The sequence below is a fragment of the Homo sapiens genome, chromosome 6 (genome assembly GCF_000001405.40).
Source record: "Homo sapiens chromosome 6, GRCh38.p14 Primary Assembly".
NCBI lineage: Eukaryota > Metazoa > Chordata > Mammalia > Primates > Hominidae > Homo > Homo sapiens.
This window is the reverse complement of record NC_000006.12, coordinates 125,112,181-125,127,603: the sequence shown is the minus strand read 5'-3', so window position 1 is coordinate 125,127,603 and position 15,423 is coordinate 125,112,181. Positions and strand designations below refer to the sequence as shown.

At 41.9% G+C, this 15,423-nt stretch overlaps 1 long non-coding RNA gene across 1 annotated transcript, besides 1 other annotated feature; it reads left to right on the top strand.

Moving 5' to 3' along the window:
• Positions 2,776–3,975: an enhancer, noted in NCBI's record as "MED14-independent group 3 enhancer chr6:125444775-125445974 (GRCh37/hg19 assembly coordinates)". NCBI's record gives its function as "activates an origin of replication core promoter dependent on BRD2, BRD4, P300/CBP and CDK7 cofactors, and independent of MED14, by STARR-seq in HCT116 cells {active_cell/tissue: HCT116}" and the evidence as "EXISTENCE:reporter gene assay evidence [ECO:0000049][PMID:35650434]".
• LOC124901394 (uncharacterized) lies at positions 3,553–9,977 on the top strand. Its single transcript, XR_007059735.1, has 2 exons — positions 3,553–3,719; positions 9,473–9,977. It is a non-coding gene; the product is annotated as an uncharacterized LOC124901394 (long non-coding RNA).
• Positions 9,978–15,423: the final 5,446 nt, after the last annotated feature.

The following is a 15,423-nucleotide window of genomic DNA, read 5'->3' as shown; positions in this document are numbered from 1 at the left end:
GTATTGAAATGTGAGGTACTGTTGCATTCATCATGCTTTTTCTTGCCTGTGTACTTTGTTTTCATTGTTTTTGTTTTTGCTTTTTAACTTGTAGTTTTGTTTTATAGGTCCTGTGTGATTTATGCTTTAAAGAGGTTCTGTTTTGATGTGTTTCTAGGATTTGTTTCAAGATTTAGAGCTCCTTTTAGCAGTTCTTGAAGTAGCAGCTTGGTAATGTGAATTCTTTCAGCATTTGTTTGTCTGAAAAAAGACTATCTTTCCTTCATATATGATGCTTAGTTTCACTGGATATAAAATTCTTGGCTGATAATTGTTTTGTATGAGGAGGCTAAAGATAGGGCCAAAGGCTAAAGATAGGGCCAAAGGCTTGTAGGGTTTCTGCTGAGAAACCTGCTGTTAATCTGATAAATTTTCCTTTATAGGTTACCTGGTGCTTCTGTCTCACAGCTCTTAAGATTCTTTCCTCCATCTTAACTTTGGATAACCTGATTGTGTCTGGAATTGGTGGGTTCTCGGTCTCACTGACTTCAAGAATGAAGCCACGGACCCTCGCGATGAGTGTTACAGTTCTTAAAGGTGGCGTGTCCGGAGTTTGTTCCTTTGATGTTTGGATGTGTTCCGATTTTCTTCCTTCTGGTGGGTTCGTGGTCTCGCTGGCTCAGGAGTGAAGCTGCGGACCTTCACAGTGAGTGTTACAGCTCTTAAGGCAATGCATCTGGAGTTGTTCATTCCTCCCAGTGGGTTCGTGGTCTCGCTGGCTTCAGGAGCGAAGCTGCAGACCTTTGCGGTGAGTATTACAGCTCATAAAGGCAGTGTGGACCCAAAGAGTGAGCAGCAGCAAGATTTATTGCAAAGAGTGAAAGAACAAAGCTTCCACACTGTGGAAGGGGACCTGAGCGGGTTGCCACTGCTGGCTCGGGCAGCCTGCTTTTTTTCTCTTATCTGGCCCCACCCACATCCTGCTGATTGGTCCATTTTACAGAGAGCCGAGTGGTCTGTTTTGACAGGGCGCTGACTGGTGCGTTTACAATCCCTGAGCTAGACACAAAGGTTCTCCACGTCCCCACTAGATTAGCTAGATACAGAGTGTCGACACAAAGGTTCCCCAAGTCCCCACCAGAGTAGCTAGATACAGAGTGTCGATTGGTGCATTCACAAACCCTGAGCTAGACACAGGGTGCTGATTGGTGTGTTCACAAACCTTGAGCTAGATACAGAGTGCCGATTGGTGTATTGACAATCCCCTAGCTAGACATAAAGGTTCTCCAAGTCCCCACCAGAGTCAGGAGCCCAGCTGGCTTCACCCAGTGGATCCCGCACTGGGGCTGCAGGTGGAGCTGCCTGCCAGTCCCGCGCCCTGCGCCCGCACTCCTCAGCCCTTGGGTGGTCCATGGGAGTGGGCGCTGTGGAGCAGGGGGTGGGGTCAGGGAGGCTTGGGCCACACAGGAGCCCATGGAGTTTTGGGTGAGGCTTAGGCATGGTGGGCTGCAGGTCCCGAGCCCTGCCCCGCGGGGAGGCAGCTAAGGCCCAGCGAGAAATCGAGCGCAGCGCCAGTGGGCCAGCACTGCTGGGGGACCCAGCACACCCTCCGCAGCCGCTGGCCCGGGTGCTAAAGCCCTCATTGCCTGGGGCTGGCAGGGCCCGCCGGCCGGCCACTCCGAGTGCAGGGCCTGCCAAGCCCACACCCACCCGGAACTTGCGCCGGCCCGCAAGCACCACAGGCAGCCCTGGTTCCCACCTGCACCTCTCCCTCCACACCTCCCCATGAGCTGAGGGAGCCAGCTCTGGCCTGGGCCAGCCCAGGAAGGGGCTCCCACAGTGCAGTGGCAGGCTGAAGGGCTCCTCAAGTGCTGCCAAAGTGGGAGCCCGGGCAGAGGAAGTGCTGAGAGTAAGTAAGGTCTGTGAGGGCTACCAGCACACTGTCACCTCGCATGATGACAATGTGCCTAGGCAAAGATCTTTTTACGATTAATTTTCCAGGTGTTGTTTGTTCTTCTTGTATTTGGATGTCTAGATCTCTAGCAATGCTGTGAAAGTGTTCCTTGATTCTTCCCCTAAATATGTTTTCCAAGCTTTTGGAATTCTCTTCTTCGTTAGGAAAACTGATTATTCTTAATTTTGGTAGTTTAACATAATCCCAGACTTCTTGGAGACTTGGTTCATATTTTCTTATTCTTTGTGCTTTGTCTTTGTTGGATTGGGTTAATTCAAAGACCTTGTCTTCGCGTTCTGAATTTCTTTCTTCTACTTGTTCAATTCTATTGCTGAGACTTTCCAGAGCATTTAGCACTTCTAAAAGTGTTTCCAAATTTTCCTGAATGTTTAATTGTTTTTTCTTTAAGCTATCTACTTCCTTGAATATTTCTCCCTTTACTTTTGTATCTTTTTTTTGGATTTCCTCGCATTGGGCTTTGCCTTTCTCTGGTCCCTCCCTGATTAGCTCAATAACTAACCTACTGAATTCTTTTTCAAGTAAATCATGGATTTCTTCTTTGTTTGGATCCATTGCCGGTGAACTAGTATGATGATTTTTTGGGAGTGTTGAAGAGATTTGTTTTGTCATAGTACCAGCGTTGGTTTTCTGGTTCCTTCTCATTTGGGTAGGCTCTGTCAGAGGGAAGGTCTAGGGCTGAAGGCTGTCGTTCAGATTCTTTTGTCCCATGGGGTGTTCCCTTGATGTAGTACTCTCCTCCTTTTCCTATGGATATGGCTTCCTGTGAGCTTAACTTCAGTGATTATTGTCTCTCTTCTGCGTCTAACCACCCAGTGAGTCTATCCGGCTCTGGGCTAGTACTGGAGGATGTCTGCACAGAGTCCTGTGATGTGAACCGTCTCTTAGCCATGGATACCACTGCCTGTTCTGGTGGAGACAATGGTGAGGGGGTGGGAGGCAGTGTGCAATGGACTCCGTGAGGGTTCTTAGCTTTGGTGTTTTAATACTCTATTTTTGTGTTGGTTGGTCTCCTCCCAGGAGGTGGTGCTATCCAGAAAGCATCAGCTGTAGAAGTATAGAGAGGGACCAGCAGTGGGCAGGGCCCTAGAACTCCCATGAGTATATGCCCTTTGTCTTCTGCTACCAGGGTGTATAGGGAAGGACCATCAGGTGGGGGCAGAGCTATACATGTCTGAGCTCAGACTCTCCTTGGGCGGGTCTTGTTGTGGCTGCTGTGGGGGATGAGGATGACTCTCCCTGGTCACTGGAGCTGTGTACCTAGCAGGATTATGGCTGGCTCTGCTGAGTCATGCAGGTTGTCGGGAAGTGGGGGAAAGCTGGCAGCCACAGGCCTCACCCAGCTCCCATGCAAAATGAAGGGCAGTCTCACTCCCACTGTGCTCCCTCCGCAGACAGCCAAGAGTCTGTTTCCAGGCAGAGGGCACAATGGGGTTGAATACTTGCCCCGGGCTACCCACCTCCCAGCTGTGAGAGAAAAGGGCTTGGTTCTCCCCGCAACTTGTGGAGTCTGCACACCAGATTTGCACCCTCCCCCAAGTTCTGGCAAGGAAGCTTCTCTCCGCATTCAAATTGTTACAAAGTTCAGCCAGAGAGTTCCTTCTTCCTGTGTAGTTTTACCCCCTGATCCTCTGGTCACCCACCTGATGGGTCCCTGTGGTGCCAGGCAGGAATGGCCTGCCAGGGGACCCAGCGAGCTCCCAGGGCCTTTCTGCTGCTTCCTCTACCCCTTTATTTCACTTGGCTTTCTAAATTGGCTCAGCTCCAGGTAAGGTCAGAAACTTCTGCAAACAGACCTTCAGCTTCTCCAGTGGGGGTGTGTGTTCAGGAGAGGAGGGTCTCACTTTTCCACTTCTGTAGTTGGGTCCCTCACGGTATTTGGGATGTCTCTTGGGTCCTGTAGGAGCAGTCCACTTCCTTCAGAGGGTCTGCGGGTCCTCTCGGGATTGCTGGTTTGTTCTTGCAGTCAATCCGGAGCCAACATTTACAATGCGAGCTTTCGCAAGCTGCTCGGTCTGGAGCTGCAATCTAGTCCTGCCTCCCATCTGCCATGATGATCTCTCTCCTATCCTATTTAATTTAAAACAATCCTTTAACCCTCTAAACTAGGCAAAAATGTACATTCCCATGTCTTCTTATAATCTTTTACTAAAGGCACATTTCACTTTCTTCACACACCTGGCATGTAAAACTATTTTTTTAGAAGTCTCGAGTACAAGTTATACTGTTAACTCTTAGCAACTTTTGGTGAAAAACCTGGTCAGTAAGCAATTTTAATTATGTATTAGGATTGAGCCTAGGACATCAGACGGAAGTGCAGATAAGGTCTGACTCCTTCCAGCATAGCTAGGGGGCATGGCTAACCCCACACATCCCCAGGCCTTACCTAGCTGTAAAGCAGGCAAGTTGAACAATTTTCAAAAGTGAAAGCAGTTTACAACCTTAAAGCATTTAGTAAACCTAATATCTGACCTGCCTAATTTGGACCAAATGTCTATGTTTTACCAATGATCTTTAAAGCTGTTCTTATTTCCTAAAGATGATTAAAGTCACGTAAACTAAAAGGAATTATAGCTTTTAGTTTTCTTTCAAAATATTTAAGCACTTATTTTTCTTTAAGCCAATTAATTAGAGCTCTTTTATATAAACATTACACACACAACACATATATAACTATACAGACAGAAGATCTAGTGGTTGTAGGATTTTTCATTTGCCAGTTTGTAAGTTTCTTAATTGGATTACTGACTTTAGGGTGGAGTCCTTGGAGGAACAGGGTAGGAAAACAATACAGTTTCTAGGGCCTAATAAGCAGGCACAGTTGGAAGGCAAAAATAGATCTCCAAAATTAAGAGTCTCATTTTTATATCACATCCTGGATCCCCAAAAAGAAGGAAATGCTATGCTTTTACTATACATTTTATTGCAAAGCAACCCGAAGTCAATCAGCCAATCAGTAAAAGACAGTGCAATGCTTTTACTATACATTTTATTGCAAAGCAACCCGAAGTCAATCAGCCAATCAGCCCATTCTGTGATTAACCCATCTCCCATGGGAGTCTTATCTCAGTGAGGAGTGGGGACACTTTCATACTTTCTAGGTGGCCAAGAGCATGCTTCTCTGATCCAAAGGTGCAAAAGCAAAGTATTCCCTCATAACTGCCATTGGCCATTACTAAAGTATATTTCCTACCTAGGTATTGAACACCAAAGCGTTCTCATAATGAGAAGTAATTTCTGATACCCCCCAAAGTAAAAAATGGCAGAGAATGCAATGCAAAACAGAGCAGAGCCTTAAATTTTGAGAGGGGTCTATCTCGTCCCAATTCCTGGGGTTTCATGTGGAAATCAGATGTTCTTCCAAAAACAGGGTTGGTGGTACTTCCTCTGTTTTTCCCATGGAGTCCCAGGCTCCTAGAGCTTGAATACCCACTTTTAATTAAACTGACTTATAACCATAGCACTCTAAAAAAAAAAAAAGTCCTTTTAAATTTATTACTAGACTCTAGCTAAGCCAAATGGTCAATATTTCTGGCTTTTGAACTTTACCAAAGATAACCTCCCAGGTGCTTAGAGAAAGGAAAATTCAACAAGGGAAGCCAGAAGTTGTTCATGGAGGGGAAGAGAATCCACAAATGATAAAGTCACACAGATATCAACCAAAAAGTACTCGTTTCCTAAGCCAGGATTGAACCCAAGCTGCCATTGTAAAATGGCAAAGCCTTAGCTGCTGAGTTACAGCATTGGGCAGTTTCCATTGCCCTTCCCAGAAGGAGTCTACAGCAGTCCATTTTGAGCTTGCAATGGTTTTTAACTACTCAAGATAATTTTTAGAGCTAAGTATGACATTGTTATAAGCAGTTAGACAGGCATGAGCAGGGCAGGAGAGGGCTCTCCCCACCCACTAAGAATGTTGGTTGATGGCTCAGAAATGATCACATGGCCTCTCTAAAAGTGATAAATTGGCAGCCAGCACCAGGGAGAGGCCATCTCCTGATGGTCCACACCTGTTGCATTAAAGTGTTAATTGAATGCAGATGCCAGGGAGAAGCAAAAAGGGGCTTCCAATAAAATCTCAGGTATTTTGCAAGTCAGCCCAGGCATGTGCATTAAGAGACAAAATGGCAGAGTATGATCTTCCGGGTACACTCCACCAGAAAAGGGAAGAAAGCCTCAGATGGTCATGCGTACAACTTGCTAAACACCCTACGCATGCTCACCTCGCAAGTGTAAGGAGGGCCCTGCACATGTGGGCAGCCCACCCTAAGGGAAGAATCATGGGAAAGGGGCCAGCCTATAAGTCCTAGGGTCAAGGCTAAATACCACACTTGATCTCATTGCCCACTTGGGTTTTTTCCAAGCATACCTTCCTTTCTTTCCTTTCCTGTTCTAAAGCCTTTTAAATATAAAACTTCCACTCCTGCTCAAAACTTGCCTCAGTTTCTTTTTCTGCCTTATGTCCCTCAGTCGAATTCGTTTTTCTGAGAAGCAAGAATCGAGGTTGCTGCAGACCCATGGGGATTTGCTGCCAGTAACTTGGATACCTTCCACCGGTAAAAACATGATCTCCAAAATTCCCGTCCTCTGGATGGTGGAGACAAAGAGAAAGTAACCACCACGTGGTTACAAGGTCAAACTCCCAAGAACCTTATTGACCAGTTTTCTGGGCCATCTTGAACAGCAGGGTAACGGGGTCCTAAGCTCGTGTTCTATCCTAAGGCACCCCTCTTTCTGACAGAAAGATACAGAAAGACATTCATAGCACAGAGTACAACAGATTCACTACAGCTCATGACTAGCCTCACAAATCCTTTTTCCCATTAATCAAAATTTTACAGAGGAGATAAACAGTGATTTTTACCATTCATTCAGCCAGTTTGCATAGAGAGAAAGAGGCCAGAAGTCTGACTGGTAAGAAATTCTTACCGTTTTGCTGGCATGTCAGGTTTCTGGGTTCTCTTTCCCTGAGTGGCCTTAGTGACCCTGCTCACCACACCATAGCTCTGGGCGCCAAGCCGTGTCATAAAGGAAAATCTTGGAACCACAGGCAAAAACCTCTCAATTTTGCAAGTTGCTCCCCAACCAGCAGAACTGAATATACATTTTTCATTCCAGCCAGAGCAAAATACATGTGACAAAACATAGACATTAGCCACTCTGCTTAGCACCCAATATCAAATTGGCAAGTCTCAAACTTGGCCCTAGATGGGCCCTGTCATCTTTAATCCATTTAAAGTGGATTAAAAGAGTTTCAACATGTGGTCTCTGGGGAAGATGGTTGCACGGAGTAACAGAAAAGGTAAGAAAGGGAAAAGAGAGAGAGAGAGAGAAAAGCATTGCCTGTGGCAGAGTGGGGAAGGCAGGAGCTCAGGGAAGCCAGAGAAAGACCCACCCATCCCAGCAATGCTGAATCAAAAGTTCAGGCAGTTGCTTGTCAGTCGCAAAGGGATCTTTTCCAGCAGTCCCATCAGCTCTCATGTTTCCCGCTTTGGAAAGAAAAAAAGCTCCCCATGTCCAGTGGTCCTATACATGCCTAATCCTGTCACCCACAGCTGTCAGCAAAAAGTGCAAAGCAAATTTAATTTTTTAAAATCAATTAGTCGCTTAAGTTTTTTATTTGCCTTTTGTAAAGTCTTTAAATAAAAATACTGAAATCTTTTTAGAAGCTTCTGCATATCAATAGCCATGCCTACAGGAGACTAATTTGGGAGCCCTCATTTTCAAACGCACTTTAGTGCAGTTTTATTCATTTGGAACATTCCACTGTAAGTTATCTTTAGTAAGATTTCACTATTACTCTAAGACTTCACTACTTCTGGGGCCTAACACTTACGCATGTATAAGCTGGAGGGAACTCAGTTTTCCAAAAATTAAGGATCCCATTTTTTACCTAAAATATTGGTTTTGTTTCTAGGTTCCCTTGATTGACTTAATTAATGATTTTTTTCCTCCTACCTAAGCACACAAGAAAAGTGGAAAAAAAAAAAAGGTAGAACACAAAAATCCCTTTGAATTTTCAAAAGCCAAATTTTTACACCCCCTGCAATATTACTATTTACCACCAGTTTCTTTCTGACCCAGTCAGATGTGCGAGGCCTCTAACTGGATCCAAGTCAGTTAATTACTGGGTCAAATGTGATCCTGGACCCAGTCCAGTTTCTGTCATGACTTCCAAAACCAGTTTGGATCACAAATTTGCTCAAAGAAACTCAGTGAGCTCAAAACACAAATCCGTGGAGCTCTGAAATGCCAGAGAGAACTTACCACAATCCCCAGCTGCTCCAATAGATCAGTGAACACAAATGGGTCCTGTAGGTACTTCACTTGGTCGCTCAGCGCTCCTGAGGGTCGTTGGAAGCTCTACTTCGGATCCCATCCTCATTGCTATCTAATAAAAGAAAAGCTGGGCCAGGCGCGGTGGCTCAAGCCTGTAATCCCAGCACTTTGGGAGGCCAAGGTGGGCTGATCACAAGGTCAGGAGATCGAGACCATCCTGGTTAACACTGCAAAACCCCGCCTCTACTAAAAATACAAAAAATTAGCCGGGCCTGGTGGCGGGCACCTGTAGTCCCAGCTACTCAGGAGGCTGAGGCAGGAGAATGGCATGAACCCGGGAGGCGGAGGTTGCAGTGAGCTGATATCACGCCACTGCACTCCAGCTTGGGCAACAGAGCTAGACTCTGTCTCAAAAAAAAAAAAAAAAAAAAAAAGAAAGAAAAAGAAAAGCTTCAGCCAAATTGTTACAATTGTTAACTAATTTAATGAATGATTCATGAATTGGGCAGCCTTCACAGCCAGAGTAGTCTCTGAGACTCCAGAGCAGCCACATGGTAGATTTATGGACAGAAAAAGGAAAGTGACATGTAGAAAATTGAAGAGAGGTAAAGAAACAGCTGGATTGGTTATAGCTCAGTGTTTGCTTTATTTGAACAGGTTCGAACAGTTGGCTACATTTGACTGGCCAGAACTCGGTGATTGGCACAGGTGTAGGCTATGGTCTGTTTATACCTTCACTTGTTATAGTTCAAGATGTATAGAAACACCTTTAGGCCTGACTTAAAATATGTAGGAAGGAAGCTTTATGCTAAACTTGATTTAACAATTCCTTTATCTGAGGTTATAGTTCTTTTTGAGTTGAAACTTTATTAAGGATATTCTCCCATTTGGCTTTTCACCCTTTGTAATTCCAAGACTTCGCCGCCCCCCTTATTTCTCTCTTCATGGAAATAGGAAACTCTGTATGCCTCCAAGGATCCTTCTTTCTCCAGATACCCGCTGACAGTTCTCTCGGTCCTCATATTTACTTTACTATTTTTTAGTTATCTCTTTTTATGAAAAGTATATTTAACATTTTCAACAATTTAAGTATATATACATTTGTATTTAGTGGAATGGTATCAGGCTGTCTAGTCTATCATATTGTCAGAATTAAAGAATTTAAAATGTTCATTTATAAAATTCAAATTTACTATACTAATATAATATTTTCTCATTCCTAGTTTTTCCTTTCTTATTCTCTAGACATTGAAGAAGTAATAGTTGTTATCTTCAAATCTTACCCTATGGAACTAGGATGCACTGAAAGAGGAACAAAGCAGACACACATCGCCTTGGCGTGTTAATGAGGTGTCAATACAGCTCTTTGCCAAGAATAACTCCTGACTTAAGATGATGCTTGAAATCTTCCTGTGAGTCACTATTCTGGGTACCTTGAAGACAGTTGTTAAAAACCAAATATGTTCTTACAAATTGGTGATATATTAATTCATTGTCATACGTTAATGCATGTTTTGTATAAATTTATGGGATACAAATGCAATTTTGTACATGCATAGATTGTGTAGTGGTCAACTCAAAGGTTTGTATAGCATCCATCACCTGAATAACATATATTTACTCATTAAGTAATTTCTCATTTTCTACCCTCCTTTTCACACCCCCATATGCTAATACCTCAAAAAAAGAATTAAGGACTTGAATTTGGTAAGTTGGATTGAGAAAAATAAAAATAGTGTGTCATTTCAAAGTGAAGGTTCATTTGGAGTGTCTAGAGAATAGAATTTATTGAAAGCAAGAAAGATGGTTCCAAAGAGTGTTCGAGGAATGTTAAAAAAAAACTTTTGAGATATCTTTCATCATTTATAATATGATGGTTATAATTGTAAAAAATTTACAAATGTTAAGGATGATGATTGGGATTTCAAAAATTTAAGAATCAGTATGTTTAATAACAATATCAAGCAGTATTCAAGAACAAGTAAGTAGACTTCGAGCAAGACGTCATGCCATCAAATCTGTGCAGTGAGATGGTTGATGGGGAGAAGGAAAGGCTTTCTAAGGAGTTGGAAAAAAGTATGAGACAGAAACAAGAATGGCAGAGGTGGAGGAAGGCTGGTTAATAAGGCCAGCCCCACTGAAATGAGGGGTTAATTCTGAGAATTAATTATAGATAAGGTTGGATAGGTATGTGGGTAAGTGGAACCCACGGAGAATCTGGAAAGCCTGATGGTTCTATTACCAATAGTATTAGAAGTTATGTTCCAATTTTCATTTTGAAAGGAAAAACCAAAGTAATTATACTAGTTTAAGTAAATATTAGCAATTTTATTTTGACTGTGCTAAAATAATCATCATATACACACACGCATACACATTTGTGTGTGTGTGTGTGTGTGTGAGTGTGTGTTTGTAACGTCTCTTTGGAGGTTGGTATTATTATCCCCATCTTACAGATGAAGAAACTGAGTCTTAGATTATTTGACTGGCTTGGATCAAACAGCTAATAACAGTGGAGATGGGACATAAATCCAGATTAACTCCTCAGCCTTCGTTCTTAACCATTATGCCACATTGCCTCCAATTTCTAGTTTTCTTTCTCTCCATTCCTGGAAACACTTAAATAATTACTATCACAGTGCATCCTATAAAAAACATTAGCGAATATTCAGTGAAAATACAAATTAACAACCAAGGTTGGTGGATTAAATTTACTTGAAGTCAATGTTGCACCATATTGGTGGACAAACTTGCAAAAAGAAAAAATATGCAACTTCCTCTTAAATATATTGACCTCCATCTATACCAGAATGCTTTATTTTCTGCATATCTAATGATATCTGTTAAACAATCATCTGTTTTTTCAGAGGAGGAAGAAAAGGGCTGCTCTATTCATGAGCTGGGTGAACAGTTTAAAGCATTCACTAGAAAAATGAAGAAAATTAACACAATTTGACAAGCTGTAGGAACTTTCATGCGATGTGACATTTTAAACCAGTTCAGTAAGGAAAATACATAATTATTCCTCATAACTGTCACATGAATATAGCAGCCACTCTAAATGCTGGTGAAGAAAATCAATCTGAGAGCAAACAAGATCCATCAAACTGCTTGCATAATTCAATGGCCTGTAGAAAAAAGTATTCTTCCCTTTTGACTCAAATATTAAAGGAATTGTGCTTTCTACCTTATTATCTCTTCTCCATCCTCCTCTCCCTATTTCTAGCTTACCTGCACTAACACACATACACACACACACACACACACATTCACTCCCTCATCTGGTTTCAATAACTCACAATGATAATAGTCACAGTTGATTTCAACAATTCATAAGCTAGAGTGCTCCACCTAGATCTATTGTTTTCAATAAAAGCAGCAGAATATTGACATACATTATTTATTTATAATAATTATAGTTATTATATTCTGTAATTTATGCATTGTTGTGGAGCATTTATTATGTTTGATTCTATCATCACAATTCTCTATTTGCTATTACTCAAATTTGCTTAATGTTGTACTAATTTCTCCTTGGCATGTAATATTTATGTATCTTTCTATGAAGTCTGTCAGTTCTTTTTGTCTCTTGGGTAGTATCATTTCTTCCAACAAGGACCATTGCTTTATTTAATGAGTCTGTTTTTTGAAGAGCATAAACTACTGCCCTTGAATGTACTATACCCTAAATCTGTTTTTATGTTCTCATAGTTTAAAATTCATGATATACACAGTGAGTGTATTACATTTTCTACATGTGGATTAGGGGTGATCCAGCCATCATCTAGTTTATTTGGCAGCCTCTAGTTTTTTCCCCCTGAAAATCACAACCATATTGTTATCCATGATCTAATAATGTTATTACTATCACAAATCTAATCATGTTATTACTATCTTCATAAATTAAAAAAAACTCTCCATAACCCAAGGGCATTTCTCAAAATTTTATCTACCTGATGTTATCTATATTGCTTCTAAAATAAATAAAACAAATCAGATAACATTTTAAAAAGTAAACAGATTTCAAGATCAAACACATTGTGAAATATTCATATTATCACTCCCTCTTATAATTTTATTATATTATAACAATTTCTATAATAAAAACAAAATTCTGCTTAATTTGGATTAACTCAGCATTTCCCAAAGTTGACTACACACACACACACACACACACACACACACAAACACACACACCACAAATACACATATTTCAATGGTGGTGGGAATATTTCTTAAAATTTCATGAGCCTCTATTTTTGTGGAAATGATGAATCTACAGTAAGCAAATCCACAGTCTTCTGCATGACACAAGAGGCCTTGCCCAGTGGGGCCACTGCCCACTTCTCTCCCTGCATTGCCATGATGTGCCAACGAATGATGTGCCAATCATTCATTGCACTCTGGGGTCCAGCCATTTATAACAAATTGCAGTTTCCCCAAGAGGCAAGTGTTTCCACAACTCTTTGCATTCACATATACTTTAGTCTCTCTTGGGAAAGTTCTTTGTCTCCTTGCCTATCAAACTAACTTCTCATCATTCTTGCTTCCATTTTGAAAAATAACTTTTTTGTGACAGCTTCCCTGACCCCTTATACCATAAAACCTATTTATATAAAATTAGCTTTTCCAAAGTGTTGTATGAGGTATGATTCTAGTTGGTACTCAAATGAAGAATTTTTTATGTTAATAGTTATGTATTTATTTTAGCATGTATTAAAAACATACTGGTTTTCTATCATAATGATTAAAATTAGCTTGTGTAATACATTGAGTTTATCTTAAGAAGTAAGCCAACTTAAATAGAAATTTAAAATAAAAACAGCTTATTTGGATATGGCAAAATAGCATGTAAATGATCATCACTAACTGATTACATTATTAACACTTATCAACTGATTCAAAATTGCAGGGCCCATGATGAACATCAGAGGGCGCCAAATCATAAACACTTTAAGACATAAGCATGTTAAAGATGACTTTATTTCAATGGTAAATTCAATGATGATAATAGCTATCATTTCTTGATTAGCTATTTTGTTTTAAGCACTTTGTTAGGCAATTTACATATATAAACTCATTTTCTTCTCACAATATTTATTAAAAGTAACTATTATTATCTCCATTCTATAAATGAGATTATTTCAGATAATAACAATGTTTCATTGTTTTGTTTTTGTTTCGATTTGTTTTTTGCATTTAACATTGTTCAATGCACTGTGCTAAGACATCGACGTAAATGACCTCAGTTATAATCTGCAGTAACCCTGTGAGTTATGGTATATTGCATTCCTTGTTTGTAGATGAAGACACTGAAGCTTAGAGAGATGAATTAATTTGCTCAAAAGTACATGGTAAGGCAGTTATTCATGGAGATAATTATGTCTGAAGCTAAATCCTCATATTTTACTAAGGCAAATGACCTTTCAAGGATCTCAGAATAAATTCTCTCCCTTTATCTCTTTCTGCATCTTCATGTGCATTAAATACATAACATCTGAGGGTGACATCAGCAAGATGGCCAATTAGAGTTACCTGGATTTCATCCTCCCCACAGAAAGGAAAAAAACAATGAATAAACAACTATATTTCAACTAGAGTGACTGAGGAAGAAAGCTGAGAGCACCAGGGGAACAGCAACAACTCTGTGGAGTACAAAAACCCAGAAGAGTACCATAGAGAGGAAAGCAAGGCATCCTCCCTCTGCCACACTGTCTGCCACACTGTCTCCCACACAGAGATCAACTGGGAGTCAGAGGGAACTTCTTTCTACAAGGAAAAGGTGAGCTGGAGAACCCTAGTGGCCTCCATTGCTTCCACATATGCTCACAGTCCTTGCTACAGGAGAGCACCTCAGTTCTCACAGGCTCTGAATCAAGTCTGCAGTGTAGCTGGGAGTCTGCGCAGCTGCACTATTTCATAGTAAGACCCTTCTTGAGCATGCCCCTCCACCACAACCTACACTGTTATAGTTTGGTGCCATCTTGAAACTGGGACTACTATTAGAGTGTGTCCTGCTCTATGGTCACTAGCAACTGATTCCATTGCTGAGGCCCTGCTGTTGTGCCACTGTGTTCACACAAGGGCCTGCAACACCATGGTTCCAGCTGTCTAGAGTACAAACCAGATGGAATGGCCAAGAACCCAGCATATGAACCCATACAGCATATCACCCCCTCCAGAGAACAGGTGGAACTGCATACAGGAGAAGCTGCTGAACAGCCTATCAGCCACTAGGCCTGCACACACCCACACTGCACAGCTAGCAGATCCAGCAAGCTTTGTGGGCTCCCACCTGGCCTGACAGCTGGTCCTGTGGCAGCCTGACCTGCAGGATATACTGCTGCATCCTGCCCAGCTCCACTGTGCCCATGAATACCCATGCACAGCCTGACAACTGGTTCTGCAGTAACCTCATCCCTCTGGACAAGCTACCACAGAGCTACCTGGTCTTGAATGCACCCAATGCACCCACTAGCACCCCTACCTGGCCTCTTACCGCAGGTCTGGGAGTAACCCTGCCCCCTGAACAGACCACTGCATAACCGCCTGGCCCCATTGAACCCATGAGTGCCCATGCCTGGCCTCTGACGGCCAGCCAAGCAGCTGCCACTGCTTCCTCAAAGAGCCCACTGAACTACCTGTCAATCCTCCACAAATATATTTTTCTGGCTCAACATCCAGCCTGGTGCCCCCATCTTCAGCAAAACCACACCATCACAAACACCAGCAGCCTAGGCCATTGAGGCAATCACAGACATATCTGACAAGGATTACAATGGAAGAAACTACACAGAGACCACACTCCCGAGTTCACGCAGAACCAAATCCAACTCTACAGCCAACCAGCATCCTAAAACCCACTTAAAGGAAAAAGTTTCTCACTCAAAAGCTACTTCAAAAAACTGGAAAAAGTGACTTTTATAGTAGATTTGCAGATATCAATATAGAAACACAAGAAACATGAAAAAGGAAGAAAATATGACACTCCCAAAACTCAAATAGGCCTCAAGTAACAGATCCCAAAGAAAAAGACATTTATGAAATATCTGAGAAGGGATTCAAAATAATCTTAAGGAAACTCAGTAAGATAGAAGAGAACACAGGCACACAATTCAATGGAATTAAGAAAACAATTTATGGCCAGGTGCAGTGGCTCATGTCTGTAATCCCCATACTTTGGGAAGCTGAGGCAG